General features: G+C 36.9%; 1 protein-coding gene across 2 annotated transcripts in view; it reads right to left on the reverse strand.

Moving 5' to 3' along the window:
* EDIL3 (EGF like repeats and discoidin domains 3) overlaps window positions 1-18089 on the reverse strand; it is a 444327-nt gene that overhangs the window by 104805 nt on the left and 321433 nt on the right. For both annotated transcript variants that reach the window (NM_005711.5, NM_001278642.1), the window contains one exon: window positions 14942-15126. In NM_005711.5, coding sequence (NP_005702.3) covers window positions 14942-15126 — 185 coding nt within the window. The remainder of the gene's footprint in view (window positions 1-14941; window positions 15127-18089) is intronic.

Here is an 18089-nt window from a genome sequence, read left to right on the forward strand (position 1 = left end):
GACACATATCAGAAACTGTCAGAAGTAGAGGGCAGGTCAAATGGCAAGAGCAGCATAAAGATTCTTTGACTGGGCCTGGGCAAGGAACCTAAGCAATTAGTTCAGAAGTCAAAACTTTGGTTGGCTTTAATACTAAGGTCACAATCTCTTCTAGTGAAAAAAAAATGTACATCTATTTTTTAAAATATAAACTAATTCCAGAAAGTTATTACCTAGAAGCTGCAAGCAGATAAATGTGTCCTTAGTCACATCTTAAATAATCTCAGAAAAGAATTTTACCAAAGATCAATACAGAAAAGGCTTTGTCTAGGTCCAGAAGACACACTATGCTAAAGAATTATAATAGCGGCATAAAACGAACAAAGACATTAGACATTTGAAAGTCACTTCACTGAGGCATGTTTTCCTTGCACAAATGCTAATTGTATTAATTAAAAAGAAATGAATGCAAAATTTTCTATAAATAAATTTTATTTTGATATCAGCCAGCAAATCAATACTTCATAAATGAGAGACATTTACAATCATAAATGTAAACAAAAAGTGAACTACCTATTATTATAGCATTACTGGCTTTGAGGAAATATTACAAAAGTCTCTAGGATAAACCAAAGCAATTGAGCCAGGTGAGCTTAACTATGAGCAAGCTCGCTGGACAGAGCAGGGTTCTCTAAAACATAATGTATGAATAACAAACATATCGTTGGGTTGTGGGCAGAAAATATTAGAGTTTACATTCCTATTTCCTATTTGTTTTATTTTAAACCAAAAATGTAGGAATTGCATTTTCCAAATATTTCATACATGTGTATGTGTGTGTATCCAATGCTCAGGAGCACTGGAAGGGATATACGATTGTTACAATGTGGCACCACAAATTTAGAGGGCAAGCTGAATCCACAGAATCTGCAGAGCCTGGCTGGACCCACCAGGAGCTCTTATTCAAGACAAGATAAGTGACCAGAGCTATGCTGGTCAGGACTGGGCATTGGAGAGGCTTCCTAATCCAACAGATATCCCCTGAAAAAAATGAGTCACTTCAATCATTATAATAGTCTAGAAAATACTGTGGTAAAAATCATCTCATAGGCTTCCTGACAAGTGCTGAATCCCCTTTAGACCACTGACTGGCTCTGCAATCTTTAACAAGCTTCTCTGACTCTTCATTATAAAGCAAACATAACTTAGCTCACGGAGAGGGCTGCTTTAAAGACAAAATGAGATTACTGATTACAATTGATTCTAATTTTATTTAAAAGCCTTTACAAATGCTCATAATATTTGAAACAGTATTCCCAAGTTCTAAATTTTACTCATTGGCATATTTTCAGTTCATATTTTTAGAAGAGAATGGTTACCATTCTTACAGCTATGCTTTGTTGCTACAAAGATAACTAATACGCCACAAACGAAAATTCATTTGCACACACAGGAATCAGAAGTCATCTAATTTGCATTATCATAAAACAGGAGCAGGTCTGCTGTGCACATGAAATTCTTTTAATTTCTGTCGTGGTTTTTCAATGGTTTCAATACCACTTCTAAGCAGAAGCATTCAACATCCTACACTTCTGTTTCTTGCTTTTGGAATTTTGAATTAATGACAATTATGGCATCAGTAATCATACATGCAGGCAGACATAATACTGAATATGTCTTTCAGTTCCTTGCACCTGACATTGTGTTTTGTTATAACAGGTGCCCCAAATATACTTATTTTAATTCAAAAAGTATAAAGTCATTTAAAATAACCTCCAAACCATAAAGGTTCCATGCATTTTTTAATGTACCACTAGAGCTTGTCTTTCTGAGATTGTACCCTGTATCTGGGGTTAATCTATTTCCTTCTCTTTGGCACCAGAAACTATTACTTTGGGCCTTTTTCATGATTTTCTATATGCAAGCACTTACTTATTAAATATTAAGTAAGTATTTAATAATCACTTACTATATCTTACTTCCTTGTCTTATGGAAGTTTTTGTTTTCTAAGCTGTTTTTAGAGAGATGTAAGATACTAAACCAAATAAATGACTCAAAATTAGAAGGGATGGAAAGGTAGGGGCAATATTTTGAGTATTAAGTAGATGTGTTATTCATTGTATAAAAGTTAACTTTTTATAGGTCTATTTGAAGGTTAGATGGCTATATCTGTATCAATAATTGTTACATGACTTTTTATTAGCTTCATACTTGTGCTACCTTGTGAAGAAATTAGCTGGTGTCTTGATAATTTTCTGATTTCTTTGGATTCGTCCAGTCATGATTTAGACACCAGAATTTTACTTGTGTGAGGAATTTTAAAAGGAGAAGATAGGCTGGGGCTGATCTTTTTTTGTAGTATCTCCATTTTACATAAAAAAAGAAAGAATATTGAAGTCTCAGAGTATTGATATAATTTGTCAGCCCTCACATCTATATTTTGTACCTCAAATTATGCACTCCTTATACTACATTGATATTGGCTGCACTTTTGTTTGCACTTAAGTATTTTCTGTACAAATGTCCTTTCAATTTTGTTTTGTTTATAAAAAGTTCTTTTTTCTAATTGGATAGTGGGGATTCCCTTTGACATCATAAAATTATAAAAATCAAAAAGATTTCTTATTCATGGTATGTGGTTTAAAAAAATGAAAAAATACATAAAGATGACTTATAGTCCTAGGAAAGTGTGAGCATCCTTCGATTCACTTAGCACACTCCAACATATGTCAATACTATAGAAGAACGGAAGCTGTCTCACAATCATATACAAGTTTCATTACTTGACCTCTTTTAGATCTTCTTTATAGGTGAACCTTCATAAATGAGAAATATTGGAACTGTGATTTGGAAATCAGAATAATCCTTCATATTGACAAATGTTTCCAGTGGCCTGGTGGTCACTTAATTTTGAAAACCTTTCCTTTAGTTCTCCTGTAAATAAATTGTTCAGAAGGCAAAATAAGTTAATGCTTTAATGAAGTTATAAATTTTATGTCTAGAATACTCCCTTTTAAAAATCTGACATGGACTAAATTAAATAAGGCTTATTTAATTTGAAAGCTTAAATTCAATTGATTTCTTATACATTTTCACAAAATTAGTATTGAAATGAAAATCTGTAGGGTCAGACGCAATTTTGATAAAGGTCAACACTAAAATGTTCAGTCTAACAACTCTATTAATTCTACTAATTTGGTTGAAATACTATGCAGACTACCTTAAATTAGCAAATGTCTTATGAAATAGACCAAAAGATCATTTCTTAGGTGGGATTGTGACATTTTCCTTCCTGTTAGTCCTTTATATTATGTTACCCTTTATGAAATCTGAAAAACGTTTAGTAGATTTAATTATGAATAGTAAATTATCCATTTTCTATAGTCACCACCAATACGGCAATGAATACATACACAATGTATTCATTATAACAAAATTTGTAGTATTTTACTTTAAAATAAGTTTTTAGTTAATCCAAGTTAATTCTTTGAGTGCAGTTTGTTTAGTTCCGTGAACAAAACCAAAATGAATCAGCATATTTCTTCACAATTAATAGCATGATCATTAGCAATGTCCCTGCTCCTCATAGAATGTCTTTAAGCATCTTAACAATGTTTAATTTCAATTTGTCTAATCTGAGCAGAAGTAAAAAAGAAATTAATCTTTCTGTTGAAAGCCAGTGATAACAGACACAAAAACACATAACTGCTTTAGTAAAAATACAGTTTCAGTAGAGAAGATTGGCAAATGATAAATTACTCACTTTAAATTATTACTACTGGGTAAAGAAGCTGAAAAATCTGATGCTACCTAGATATAGACATTTCAAAGTTTTTATGTGCCAATGCCAATATATATAATTTATCAACACAACCTACAGTTTGCAATGATTTAACAATGTATTATTTTACATTTCATTATTTTATTGGAAATTCCATTTTGGAGGAATATATATGCAAATCTTCACTTTTGATTAAAATTGGTGGTGTCAAATTCTGTTCTCCTGAGGTACACAATCCACCAGAAAGGAAAAGAAGGGATCTATCCAATACTGAGTACCTACTGCATGCTTCCACTGTTCTGTTATTTGTTTTATTTAATCCACTTTAAGAGTCATCACAATTTCTGACTTCTTTGTTTGGAAACTACCTATGGAAGCTAATAGTCTTAACCTAAAAACATCTCTGTGAGTTAAATGTTACTTTATTTTTATAACAAAGATTAATATCTATCCTAACCATGAGTTAGGAATGTCCAATTAGGAGTATGGAATAATTGGCTCAGAATGTTCCAATTTCAACATTGGTAAGAATTTTGAAAGTTAAAAACTAAAATTTGACCTTTGGGAGGCTTTCAGATAACACATTGGTAAGCTTTATTGCTCAAAGTATTAGTTGAATTTTAAAGTTTTACAAACCATCATACACAGAGGTCTGAGAAATGCCTCTGTTTAGGGCTGCCTGAGGCCCTCACACATTTTTGCCATGTCCCGATAGAAATAGCATAACAATTTTATGATTAGCAGCAACTCAAGAAAGCTAACCAATTAGGTAGGATCACCTCTTAAAAAAAATCACACGGCCGGGCGCGGTGGCTCACGCCTGTAATCCCAGCACTTTGGGAGGCCGAGACGGGTGGATCATGAGGTCAGGAGATCGAGACCATCCTGGCTAACACGGTGAAACCCCGTCTCTACTAAAAATACAAAAATTAGCCGGGCATGGTGGCGCACGCCTGTAGTCCCAGCTACATGGGAGGCTGAGGCAGGAGAATGGTGTGAACCCGGGAGGCGGAGCTTGCAGTGAGTCGAGATGGCGCCACTGCACTCCAGCCTGGGCGACAGAGCGAAACTCCATCTCAAAAAAAAAAAAAAAAAAAAAAAAATCACACAAGAATATTTGCTTGAGAAGTTCCAGACATTTTGATCTTATAGAAGTGAGTAGATGAAACATTAGAGTAATAAAAACAATAGAATGTTAAAATGAGATTTGAGGCAGTTCCAACATGGCAGAATAGGAACAGCTCCAGTCTACAGCTCCCAGTGTGAGCGACACAGAAGACGAGTGATTTCTGCATTTCCAACTGAGGTACCAGGTTCATCTCACTGGGGAGTGTCAGACAGTGGGTACAGGACAGTGGGTGCAGTGCACTGAGCGTGAGCTGAAGCAGGGCGAGGCATCGCCTCACCTGGGAAGTGCAAGGGGTCAGGGAATTCCCTTTCATAGCCAAGCAAAGCTGTGACAGACGGCACCTGGAAAATCCGGTCACTCCCACCCTAATATTGTGCTTTTCCAGTGGTCTTAGCAAACGGCACACCAGGAGATTATATCCTGCGCCTGGCTCAGAGGGTCCCACGCCCACAGAGCCTCGCTCATTGCTAGCCCAGCAGCCTGAGATCAAACTGCAAGGCAGCAGTGAGGCTGGGGGAGGGGTGTTCCCCATTGCTGAGGCTTGAGAAGGTAAACAAAGCAGCCAGGAAGCTTGAACTGGGTGAAGCCCACCGCAGCTCAAGGAGGCCTGCCTGCCTCTGTAGACTCCACCTCTGGGGGCAGGGCATAGCCGAACAAAAGGCAGTAGAAACCTCTGCAGACCTAAATGTCCCTGTCTGACAGCTTTGAAGAGAGTAGTGGTTCTCCCAGCATGGACTTTGAGATCTGAGAACGGACAGACTGCTTCCTCAAGTGGGTTGCTGACCCCTGAGTAGCCTATCTGGGAGGCACCCCCCAGTAGGGGCAGACTGACACCTCACACAGCTGGGTACCCCTCTGAGACAAAACCTCCAGAGGAACGATCAGACAGCAACATTTGCTGTTCACCAATATCCACTGTTCTGCAGCCTCCGCTGCTGATACCCAGGCAAACAGGGTCTGGAGCAGACCTCCAGCAAACTCCAACAGACCTGCAGCTGAGGGTCCTGAATGTTAAAAGGAAAACTAACAAACAGAAAGGACATCCACACCAAAACCCCATATGTCACCATCATCAAAGACCAAAGGTAGATAAAACCACAAAGATGGGGAAAAAACAGAATAGAAAAATTGAAAATTCTAAAAATCAGAGCACCTCTCCTCCTGCAAAGGAACGCAGCTCCTCACCAGCAACGGAACAAAGCTGGACAGAGAACGACTTTGACGAGTTGAGAGAAGAAGGCTTCAGATGATCAAACTTCTCCGAACTAAAGGAGGAAGTTCGAACCCATTGCAAAGAAGCTAAAAACCTTGAAAAATGATTAAACAAATGGCTAACTAGAATAACCAATGCAAAGAAGTCCTTAAAGGACCTGATGGAGCTGAATACCATGGCATGAGAACTACGTGACAAATGCACAAGCTTCACTAGCCGATTTGATCAACTGGAAGAAAGGGTATCAGTGACTGAAGATCAAATGAATGAAATGAAGCGAGAAGAGAAGTTTAGAGAAAAAAGAATAAAAAGAAACGAACAAAGCCTCCAAGAAATATGGGACTATGTGAAAAGACCAAATCTACGTCTGATTGGTGTACCTGAAAGTGACGGGGAGAATGGAACCAAGTTGGAAAACAGTCTGCAGGATATCATCCAGGAGAACTTCCCCAACCTAGCAAAGCAGACCAACATTCAAATTCAGGAAATACAGAGAATGCCACAAAGATACTCCTCGAGAAGAGCAACTACAAGACACATAATTGTCAGATTCACCAAAGATGAAATGAAGGAAAAAACGTTAAGGGCAGCCAGAGAGAAAGGTGGGGTTACCCACAAAGGGAAGCCCATCAGACTAACAGCGGATCTCTCGGCAGAAACTCTACAAGCCAGAAGAGAGTGGGGGCCAATATTTAACATTCTTAAAGAAAAGAATTTTCAACCCAGAATTTCATATCCAGCCAAACTAAGCTTCATAAGTGAAGGAGAAATAAAATCCTTTACAGACAAGCAAATGCTGAGAGATTTTGTCACCATCAGGCCTGCCTTACAAGAGCTCCTGAAGGAAGCAATGAACATGGAAAGGAACAACCAGTACCAGCCACTGCAAAAACATGCCAAATTGTAAAGACCATCAATGCTAGGAAGAAACTGCATCAACTAATGAGCAAAATAGCCAGCTAACATCATAATGACAGGATCAAATTCACACATACAATATTAACCTTAAATATAAATGGGCTAAATGCTCCAATTAAAAGACACAGACTGGCAAATTGGATAAAGAGTCAAGACCCATCAGTGTGCTGTATTCAGGAAACCCATCTCACGTGCAGAGACACACATAGGCTCAAAATAAAGGGATGGAGGAAGATGTACCAAGCAAATGGAAAACAAAAAAAGGCAGGGGTTGCAATCCTAGTCTCTGATAAAACAGACTTTAAACCAACAAAGAGCAAAAGAGACAAAGAAGGCCATTACATAACGGTGAAGGAATCAATTCAACAAGAAGAGCTAACTATTCTAAATATATATGCACCCAATACAGGAGCACCCAGATTCATAAAGCAAGTCCTTAGGACCTACAAAGAGACTTAGACTCCCACACAATAATAATGGGAGACTTTAATACCCCACTGTCAACATTAGACAGATCAACAAGACAGACAGTTAAGAAGGATATCCAGGAATTGAATTCAGCTCTGCACCAAGTGGACCTAATAGATATCTACAGAACTCTCCACCCCAAATCAACAGAATATACATTCTTCTCAGCACCACACCACACCTACTCCAAAATTGACCACACAGTTGGAAGTAAAGCACTCCTCAGCAAATGTAAAAGAACAGAAATTATAACAAACTGTCTCTCAGACCACAGTGCAATCAAACTAGAACTCAGGATTAATAAACTCACTCAAAACCACTCAACTACATGGGAACTGAATAACCTGCTCCTGAATGACTACTGGGTACATAACGAAATGAAGGCAGAAATAAAGATGTTCTTTGAAACCAATGAGAACAAAGACACAACTTACCAGGATCTCTGGGACACATTCAAAGCAGTGGGTAGAGGGAAATTTATAGCACTAAATGCCCACAAGAGAAAGCAGGAAAGATCTAAAATTGACACCCTAACATCACAAATAAAAGAACTAGAAAAGCAAGAGCAAACACATTCAAAAGCTAGGAGAAGGCAAGAAATAACTAAGATCAGAGCAGAACTGAAGGAGACAGAGACACAAAAAACCCTTCAAAAAATCAATGAATCCAGGAGCTGGTTTTTTGAAAAGATCAACAAAATTGATAGACCGCTAGCAAGACTAATAAAGAAGAAAAGAGAGAAGAATCAAATAGATCCAATAAAAATGATAAAGGGGATATCACCACTGATCCCACAGAAATACAAACTACCATCAGAGAATACTATAAACACCTCTATGCAAATAAACTAGAAAATCTAGAAGAAATGGATAAATTCCTCAACACATACACTCTCCCAAGACTAAACCAGGAAGAAGTTGAATCTCTGAATAGAACAATAACAGGCTCTGAAATTGAGGCAAGAATTAATAGCTTACCAACCAAAAAAAGTCCAGGACCAGATGGATTCACAGCTGAATTCTACCAGAGGTACAAGGAGGAGATGGTACCATTCCTTCTGAAACTATTCCAATCAATAGAAAAAGAGGGAATCCTCCCTAACTCATTTTATGAGGCCAGCATCATCCTGATACCAAAGCCTGGCAGAGACACAACAAAAAAAGAGAATTTTAGACCAATATCCCTGATGAACATCGATGCAAAAATCCTCAATAAAATACTGGCAAACCAAATCCAGCAGCACATCAAAAACCTTATCCACCATGATCAAGTGGGCTTCATCCCTGGGATGCAAGGCTGGTTCAACATATGCAAATCAGTAAATGTAATCCAGCATATAAACAGAACCAAAGACAAAAACCACATGATTTTCTCAATAGATGCAGAAAAGGCCTTTGACAAATTTCAACAACTCTTCATGCTAAAAACTCTCAATAAATTAGGTATTGATGGGATGTATCTAAAAATAATAAGAGCTATTTATGACAAACTCACAGCCAATATCATACTGAATGGGCAAAAACTGGAAGCATTCCCTTTGAAAACTGCCACAAGACAGGGATGCCCTCTCTCACCACTCCTATTCAACATAGTGTTGGAAATTCTGACCAGGGCAATCAGGCAGGAGAAAGAAATAAAGGGTATTCAATTAGGAGAAGAGGAAGTCAAATTGTCCCTGTTTGCAGATGACATGATTGTATATCTAGAAAACCCTATCATCTCAGCCCAAAATCTCCTTAAGCTGATAAGCAACTTCAGCAAAGTCTCAGGATACAAAATCAATGTGCAAAAATCACAAGCATTCTTACACACCAATAACAGACAAACAGAGAGCCAAATGATGAGTGAACTCCCATTCACAATTGCTTCAAAGAGAACAAAATACCTAGGAATCCAACTTACAAGGGATGTGAAGGACCTCTTCAAGGAGAACTACAAACCACTGCTCAATGAAATAAAAGAGGACACAAACAAATGGAAGAACATTCCATGCTCATGGATAGGAAGAATCAATATCGTGAAAATGGCCATACTGCCCAAGGTAATTTATAGATTCAATGCCATCCCCATCAAGCTACCAATGACTTTCTTCACAGAATTGGAAAAAACTACTTTAAAGTTCATATGGAACCAAAAAATAGCCTGCATTGCAAATCAATCCTAAGCCAAAAGAACAAAGCTGGAGACATCACGCTACCTGACTTCAAACTGTACTACAAGGCTACAGTAACCAAAACAGCATGGTACTGGTACCAAAACAGAGATACCGACCAATGGAACAGAACAGAGCCCTCAGAAATAATAACACACATCTACAACTATCTGATCTTTGACAAACCTGGCAAAAACAAGAAATGGGGAAAGGATTCCCTGTTTAACAAATGGTGCTGGGAAAACTGGCTAGCCATATGTAGAAAGCTGAAACTGGATCCCTTCCTCGCACCTTATAAAAAATTAATTCAAGATGGATTAAAGACTTAAATGTTAGACCTAAAACCATAAAAACCCGAGAAGAAAACCTAGGCTATACCATTCAGGACATAGGCATGGGCAAGGACTTCATGTCTAAAACACCAAAAGCAATGGCAATAAAAGCCAAAATTGACAAATGGGATCTAATTAAACTAAAGAGCTTCTGCACAGCAAAAGAAACTACCATCAGAGTGAACAGGCAACCTACAGAATGGGAGAAAATTTTTGCAATCTAGTCATCTGACAAAGGGCTAATATCCAGAATCTACAAAGAACTCAAACAAATTTACAAGAAAAAAACAAACAACCCCATCAAAAAGTGGGCAAAGGATATGAATGGACACTTCTCAAAAGAAGACATTTATGCAGACAAAAAACACATGAAAAAATGGCTCACCATCACTGGCCATCAGAGAAATGCAAATCAAAACCACAATGAGATACCATCTCACACCAGTTAGAATGGCAATCATTCAAAAGTCAGGAAACAACAGGTGCTGGAGAGGATGTGAAGACATAGGAACACTTTTACACTGTTGGTGGGACTGTAAACTAGTTCAACCATTGTGGAAGTCAGTGTGGCGATTCCTCAGGGATCTAGAACTACAAATATCATTTGACCCAGCCATCCCATTACTGGATATATACCCAAAGGAATATAAATCATGCTGCTATAAAGACACATGCACACGTATGTTTATTGCAGCACTCCTCACAATAGCAAAGACTTGGAACCAACCCAAATGTCCAACAATGGTAGACTGGATTAGGAAAATGTGGCACATGGAATACTAGGAATACACCATGGAATACTAGGCAGCCATAAAAAATGATGAGTTCATGTCCTTTGTAGGGACATGGATGAAGCTGGAAACATCATTCTCAGCAAACTATCGCAAGGACAAAAAACCAAACACCGCATGTTCTCACTCATAGGTGGGAATTGAACAATGAGCACACTTGGACACAGGAAGGGGTACATCATATACCGGGGCCTGTTGTGGGGTGGGGTGAGGGGGGAGGTATACCATTAGGAGACATACCTAAGGTAAATGACGAGTTAATGGGTGCAGCACACCAACATGGCACATGTATACATATGTAACAAACCTTCACATTGTGCACATGTATCCTAGAACTTATAAAGTATAATAAAAAAATATAAAGAATGTTAAAATGAGATTTGAATACATACGAATTCCCAAAGGACACATAAGAATTTCTTAAACTATATGACAATTAGGCATGAGGGTATTTTGGGGGGCTGAATTTACAATTGTATTGCCAGATATCTGATTAGGTTTTAGAAAAACCTATTAAACAGAAATAAAACTCCATTAGAGCGTCACATTTTTAGCTGGTATATAAAAGACATTTTTTAAAAAAATAGCAAGAGATTGATAATGAAGGAAGGGAATTTAAGTGGCAGACATGGCTTTTCTTCTGAAGAGCTACTGCTCAGAACTGATGCATTTTAGTTAAAAATATACCTAATTCAGAGGCGTCTGATTTTATAAATACATTCAGGATAAAAATTGACCTCTATGTTACCTCTATATAAACAACTGAAAAAGAAAATCACCCCATACATTGTTATCTATGAAAATGTTAATCTTATTTTCAACAGAAACACTAACAAGCATAACAATATACAGTTGAACAGATTATATTCTCTTGAGGGGAAAACACTAAAAAATAGTCACAATTCTGGGCCTTTTTCTTGCATGATGTCACAAAATAAATAAATAAAAGGAAAAGATGTCAATTTACTTTGCCTTGGAGATTCTGAATATGTTTTGATACAACAAAAATTAGACATATATTAGAAGAACTACTCCTTGAATTAACACAAAGTCTATTATGAACACAATGAATCAATTTTAGCATGCAAGTGATTTTAAGAAGATAGTTGAAAAATCATCTTGAACAAAGTGATAGATGGAGGCTCACACTGAAGATTATGCCCTGATTCATGTAAAAATATTTGTTTAATTTTTATCTTTCCAAAGAAATATGCCATTTGCAATCCCTTTATGTGGATGTTTCTAGAGTCTACCAACCTCCTGAGCTACTTATGGGGTGTAAAATAGTTTGCCTTATTCCACACAGCATTATGACTCACAAATAACATTAGCGATACGCAGCCAATCTGATACATGACTGGAATATTTACAATTTTAGAATATACAGCAATGAAAAATTTTAAGTTGATCATTGTCAAGTCTAACAAGTGGAAAGGAGATTTTCTTCAAAGTAAGAACCTGAAAACTTCAATGATGGCTATATATTATAAAAATTTAGTTTCCTTATTTAAAAAAAAGTCAGCTCTTCAACAAGAAATTTTAAATGTATCTTTTAAATATTGAAAAATTGAGAATATGTACCAGTTGGCCTCTTAAATTGGGTATCAAACTTATATGCTATGTTGGCTCAAACCAATAACTTGAATTATTTTTTGAATGAATCATTCATTTATTCATTCAACAAATCTTTATGGAATGCCCACCATGTGTTAGGTTAGTTAGATGCTGAACAACAAGTTAAGAAAGTCAGGACAGGCATGGTCTCAGCCTCTTGAAACAAACAGCCTAGCATAAAAACACAATTTCCAATACAGTAAGAAAATGGTATAGTGACAAAATTACAGACGATGTAGTAGTATACATGATAAAGATTTAAGTCAGACGTGGGCAGAATGGATTTGGCAGCAAAATATTCCCAGAGAAAGGTATATCCGAACTGAAGCTGAAGGATTTAAATATAACAGAAGGCAGATAATGCTGTGGGTAGAGGCTCTTTCCATTCATTTCTTATAGCAAGAGGACATTTATAAAGGAATGGGAAGAAGGAGATAGTACTTGGTTTGAGTACAAGCAAATTTAGAAGAGTAGGGTAAGAAACGAACTGGGGCCAAATCATGCAAAAAACTCTTAGGTTATATTAAGGAACTTGCACATTATTCTGAAACAGAGGGAGTAATGAAGGGTTTTAAACAGGAGAGTAAGAGAATCATATTTACCTTTTAGGAAAACACAGACACACAAACACACACACACACACGAGTTACAACTTTAGAAATGAATTTTTAAAGAGTAAAACTAGAAACGGAAAAGCTGGTTAAGAAGCTTCTGTGAAACCCAGGTGAAAGAGGGTGGTAGCACTGGTGATAGAAGTAGCAGTGGGGATGGTAAGATGGGAAATGATTTTCAGATATTTGAGTCATTTTTTCATAGTTGAAATTACCAATACTTGCTAAATCAGTTAATGTTAGTGTGTGGAGCTGGTGAAAGAGATGTTAGCAGGAAGATAATTGGGAGAAGAAGTGTGACCAGGAAAGGACATTGGGAAACATCTGCTACGAGGATGGAGGAAAATAGAAAATGGTGTAAGCTAAGTCAGATAACAGGAATATTTTAAGCAAGGGGTAATATCTTAATGTCTTAAGCAACAGTGTGTTGCTCACTTATATGTCATCACTACTTATCATGTTATATGATGCTTTCTAGGTTCATCACAAACATTTGTTAAATAAATAATTTAATTTAGTAAGCACTGCTACTTATAAGGTTGGGTGCTGGGATGATATATTAGAAAACATACTCCTTATCTTCAAAAAGTTCATAGAACGGTAATAGGAGAAAGACTTACATTATTACCTATAGCATGTGCTAGCTAATGAGAGCTGAATAAAGCTCTAGATCAATAAAAAATGTTAAGGGAAAGTAAAGAAAAAAGTGAGTATTTCTACTTGTGAGTATAAGAAAAAGTAAGGCCAACTGAAGAAAAAACTGAAAAAAGAAGCCTGATGTGGGGGCTTATGCCTGTAATCCCAAGACTTTGGGAGGCTGAGGCAGGAGGATTGGTGGAGGCTAGGAGTTCGAGATTGGCTTGAGCAACACAGTGAGACACCTGTCTGCACAAAAGAAAAAAAAAATTAGCGGGGTATAGTGATGTGCACCTGTAGTCCTAGCTATTTGGTAGGCTGAGGCAGGAGGACTGCTGGAGCCCAGGAATTTAAGGCAACAGTGAGCTATGATTGCACTACTGCTCTCTAGCCTGGGCAACAGAGTGAGCCCTGTCTCAAAAAAGGAGAGGAGTGGAGCAGAGAGGAGAGAAGAGAAGAGGAACTATTGCAAATTTCAGGTAACCTGGTAAGAACAGTTACAGATTTGGCAAATCTTGTTTGATAGGGGTGGAATTTGCTATTTTAAATTGTTTTCATGATTTCTGGGAATGCAATGAACTACTATAGTTTTTAAACTCATGAATACAGCATAAAAATCAACAAGAACAGAACTCGTATCTTTCACTATAAAGTGATCTCATTATCGAATTGAGTTGTCTTACTTTTTGCCACAGAAGCCACTAACAAACCTGTGCATATTTAAACGTGCTCCACAAATAAGAGAATTTCATGAAGATTGTTTTAAAAAGCACTGACTGTAACCTTACTTCATTTGCAAATGATAAACTCTGCAGTATCTATGGTTTCCTTCTATAAGCAAGATCTGTTTTGAGAATGTAATCAAATATCTTCATTGCTTAGCAACCACAGGTAAGGAGCTAATATGTCATGAGTCATGATTCTACGTGAACAGTTTGCAGGTCAGTGGCATGATTTCAATGCCCTTTGGATTCTTGCTGTCATGCTTTCAAAGCCAATATTAATACAAAGTATTAGAATGGATGAGAGTTAAGATGCAAATGCTCTCCTAATCAATCAATTGACATACACATAGTGTGATCTGGTACAGTCTCCTGCATCAAGCTTACACTAGCATCTATAAACCAACACCAGCGTAAAAATAGCCCACAGACATGGTTTCATAAGGAATTTGTGTTTTACCAATTTAGTTAAACCGAAGATGAAGGCACATTTAAATTAGCGTGAAGGTAACGACTCTGACACTCACCTAATCAACAGGAAATCTTCTAAGAAAGAGGAACAGTGGGTAGTGAAACAGTTTTGGAAAACTTTACCTGTAACCATTGTGACTGGTCATTGTGGCCAGAGGTCCAGGCATTCACTTTGCCTTGCTTGTCCAGCCGAGCTTTCCTTGGTTCCCAAGTGAACATGTCCATGTTGAGCGTTCTGAAGATGCTGGAGGCAGTGATCTGATAGTCTTGTATATGTCCTGATTTCATACCCAGAGGCTCAGAACAACCTGAAAGAAAATGAGAAGGGCTCCATGAGAAAAATAATTGATCACCTGGAACTTTTCTGCATTCATTTTGGATAGGCAAGAGAAGATTAAACATAATGCTATTCATTCCTCCAAAGAGAAAACATCTAAATCCAAAAAAAAGCTATAATCAGAAATAAATCTGAAACAAAATCGAAAAACAAGATAGTCAATTCAAGCTATTTTGTCTGAATATATTTTGGAAAAATTGAAAACAAGACAGACAATTTAAACTACTTTTCTGTGATAGATGATTCTGCAAAATGAAAACAATGCTGAAATGCTCTCTCCTGTCTCATTACTGGAGGCCTCCTGACTGCTCCCCAGTTTTCAACAGTTTCATTGTGTCTTTAAAAATGGGACATTTTCTCACAAAGTATTGTTTTTCTTTTATTTGTTTTCAAATTACTGCAAATGAAAATTCCCTCAGTACAAAGTCATTTTCACAAGCTGCTCTACTGCTGTATTCTAAACCGGACAGCATTTTGTTTTTCAAGAAATATGTTAATCTTCATCACTGATTCTTATAGCACCAACATGGCTTCTTCTGTAAGAGAGGAATCTAGTATTTACTGAGGGTATGCCATGTGCCAGGCATTGTGCAAGCATAATTTAAACTAATAGATAACAGAAGATAATAAGATAATTCTAGCAATAACCACCACTGAACAAACCTTTTAATACATTATTTTATTTCAATCATATTCAATAACCTATAAAGTTTAGATATTTTTGTAAGATTCTCAAATCTACCACATGTATTTTTGAGTTTAATACGGTAAAAATTTTGGCTTGCTTGTCCTTGAAAAATTATATGCATGCACATATGTTTGTGTGTGTATACATAGACACAAAATTTCCCAGTCTTGGATTGCAACTGTGACAAAATGCTCTTTACAATTTTTGTAATAGAAAGCATGATTCTATCATCATATGAGCCCGGGGCTGAGTCTTCTTTATGTGAAACTGTTAAATTTTGGTCAAGTAACTCACAAGGTAAGTTTGATCATCAAAGAAACAAAGATGACAAGAGGACACTCCTCCAACCCAATACTTTCTCCTCACACTCTACTGTCTCCCATTTCCCAGCTGTGTAGCCTTGCCCTGTTATTTAACAACTTTCTACCTAAATTTTCTCATCTGTAAGATGGTGATAATAATAGAAACTACCTCAAGGAAGTATTCTAAGAAATTACTTAATAAACATAAAGTACTTAGAAACAGTGCTGGCACACAGCATTCAGTCAATGTTAACTATTTGTATGATTTCTGTAAAACTCATCCCAACAGATGGCAATGGTAAGTCCCCAAATATCAGCATATCAACAAGTACTCAATAATATTTAATTATTGGGTACAGTTTCTAAAACTAGACCTTTTTTGGAGTCTAAACTATAAAAGAGGTGCTTTAGAACTCTTCATTGATCAATAACTCTTAGCTATAACTAATTGCCTTCTGTCCTGGTCTATCTAGATTACTTCTACCTTCTTGAGGCTCCCCATATTTCCCTTCACCTCCACCATCTAGGAAATGCATATCCTATGAAAACATGGAAAACATGACATGGAGGGCTGTGTGTCTTAACACGAGTACATTTTGGTATAGGAGATAAGTATCTGAAGCCTCATATTAAAGATAGCTGTAATGCCTACCTGTATATTCTGGGTGAAAAAAAAGTCATAACAATTCTCTAAGAGTCTAGAAAATTCTAACAGGCTTAATGGCAAGCTGTTTATCTTCAGGAAGTTAGTTTCATAGTGGCATGCATTGTCTACATTGAAAAATTCTGACTTGTTCTTTTATCCCCATCTTTGCCTCTACCTGCATCCCACCCCCCAAGTCTTTGAAAACTTTGCTCAGTTTGCAGGAGATACAAGGGAAGAGGAAAGATAGTTGTTTCCCTCCTTTTGTGATATAACATAGTATTGAAGTACTGGATAGAAAAGGAATGGCTTTACTTTGACCACTTCTGCTTAGCCAAAAAATTCACTTTATATCCATTCTGTTGTCTAGTATTTATCTCAGAATTGCCAAATTATTGGTTCATAGAATGAATGAATGAGTATTCCTCCTCTAATTAGGGTCATAATCTATTTTATTCCAAATATCTTAAGTCATACTTCTTTCAGTGTATTTAGGAGATGATCTTCAAAAGTGTTTGAGAAGAGATTACCTGCTCATCTTCTAGGCAGGGTGAAAGATTTTAATAGCAATTTACTGAATACAATAAGGCTTTACAGTGTTCCACTGGATTGTGGGGAGTAGTTTGGTACATTACATTAGTGTTTATTTCCAGGTGTTACAGCTAACCTCTCTGCCAATGTGCCTCATGCCACAAATTTTACTTCTTATCCATATGATTTCAAGCATATAAATTAATTAACTCTCTTACCAGTGTGGCCAGCACTTGAACAAAATGAAGTATTAACAATGAAATGGGTATTTCTATAATGAAGTGCTCTAGTTTTTTAAAGCATCCATTGAGAGATATTACTCTCTGCATGCAAGTTCAAAATCAATTTGCTGTGCTGGGAGATGCAGCACTGCTTCTTTTTGAGAAAATAAAACCTGTAAAGTGTCAGGTGCAATGTCTTGTCAAACTTGGGAGTAAAATATATTCACATCTTAGGGGTGTAACCGTGCCATGTGTGAAAGACTGACTCTCATGAATCAAAAGACTGAAAAATTGTGGAAGGTGATGTTAAGCAACTAAAAACCATGTGGCTTGCAGCAGATCTCATCATATTGTGGCTTCCTCTTGATTGCTTTATGATAAATGGCTTAGGGATGACACTGGTCTGTGGTGATATAGTGAGATGCAATACAAACACTGTATAGCAATAAGTCTGCTAAGATTTACTGGATCTTAATAACTGGAGTAAACAAACTGGATTAAATTGCCAAAATAAGGAAAATATCTCTGTTAGGAAAATTAATGGTACTA

The sequence above is a fragment of the Homo sapiens genome, chromosome 5, assembly GCF_000001405.40.
Source record: "Homo sapiens chromosome 5, GRCh38.p14 Primary Assembly".
Lineage (NCBI taxonomy): Eukaryota > Metazoa > Chordata > Mammalia > Primates > Hominidae > Homo > Homo sapiens.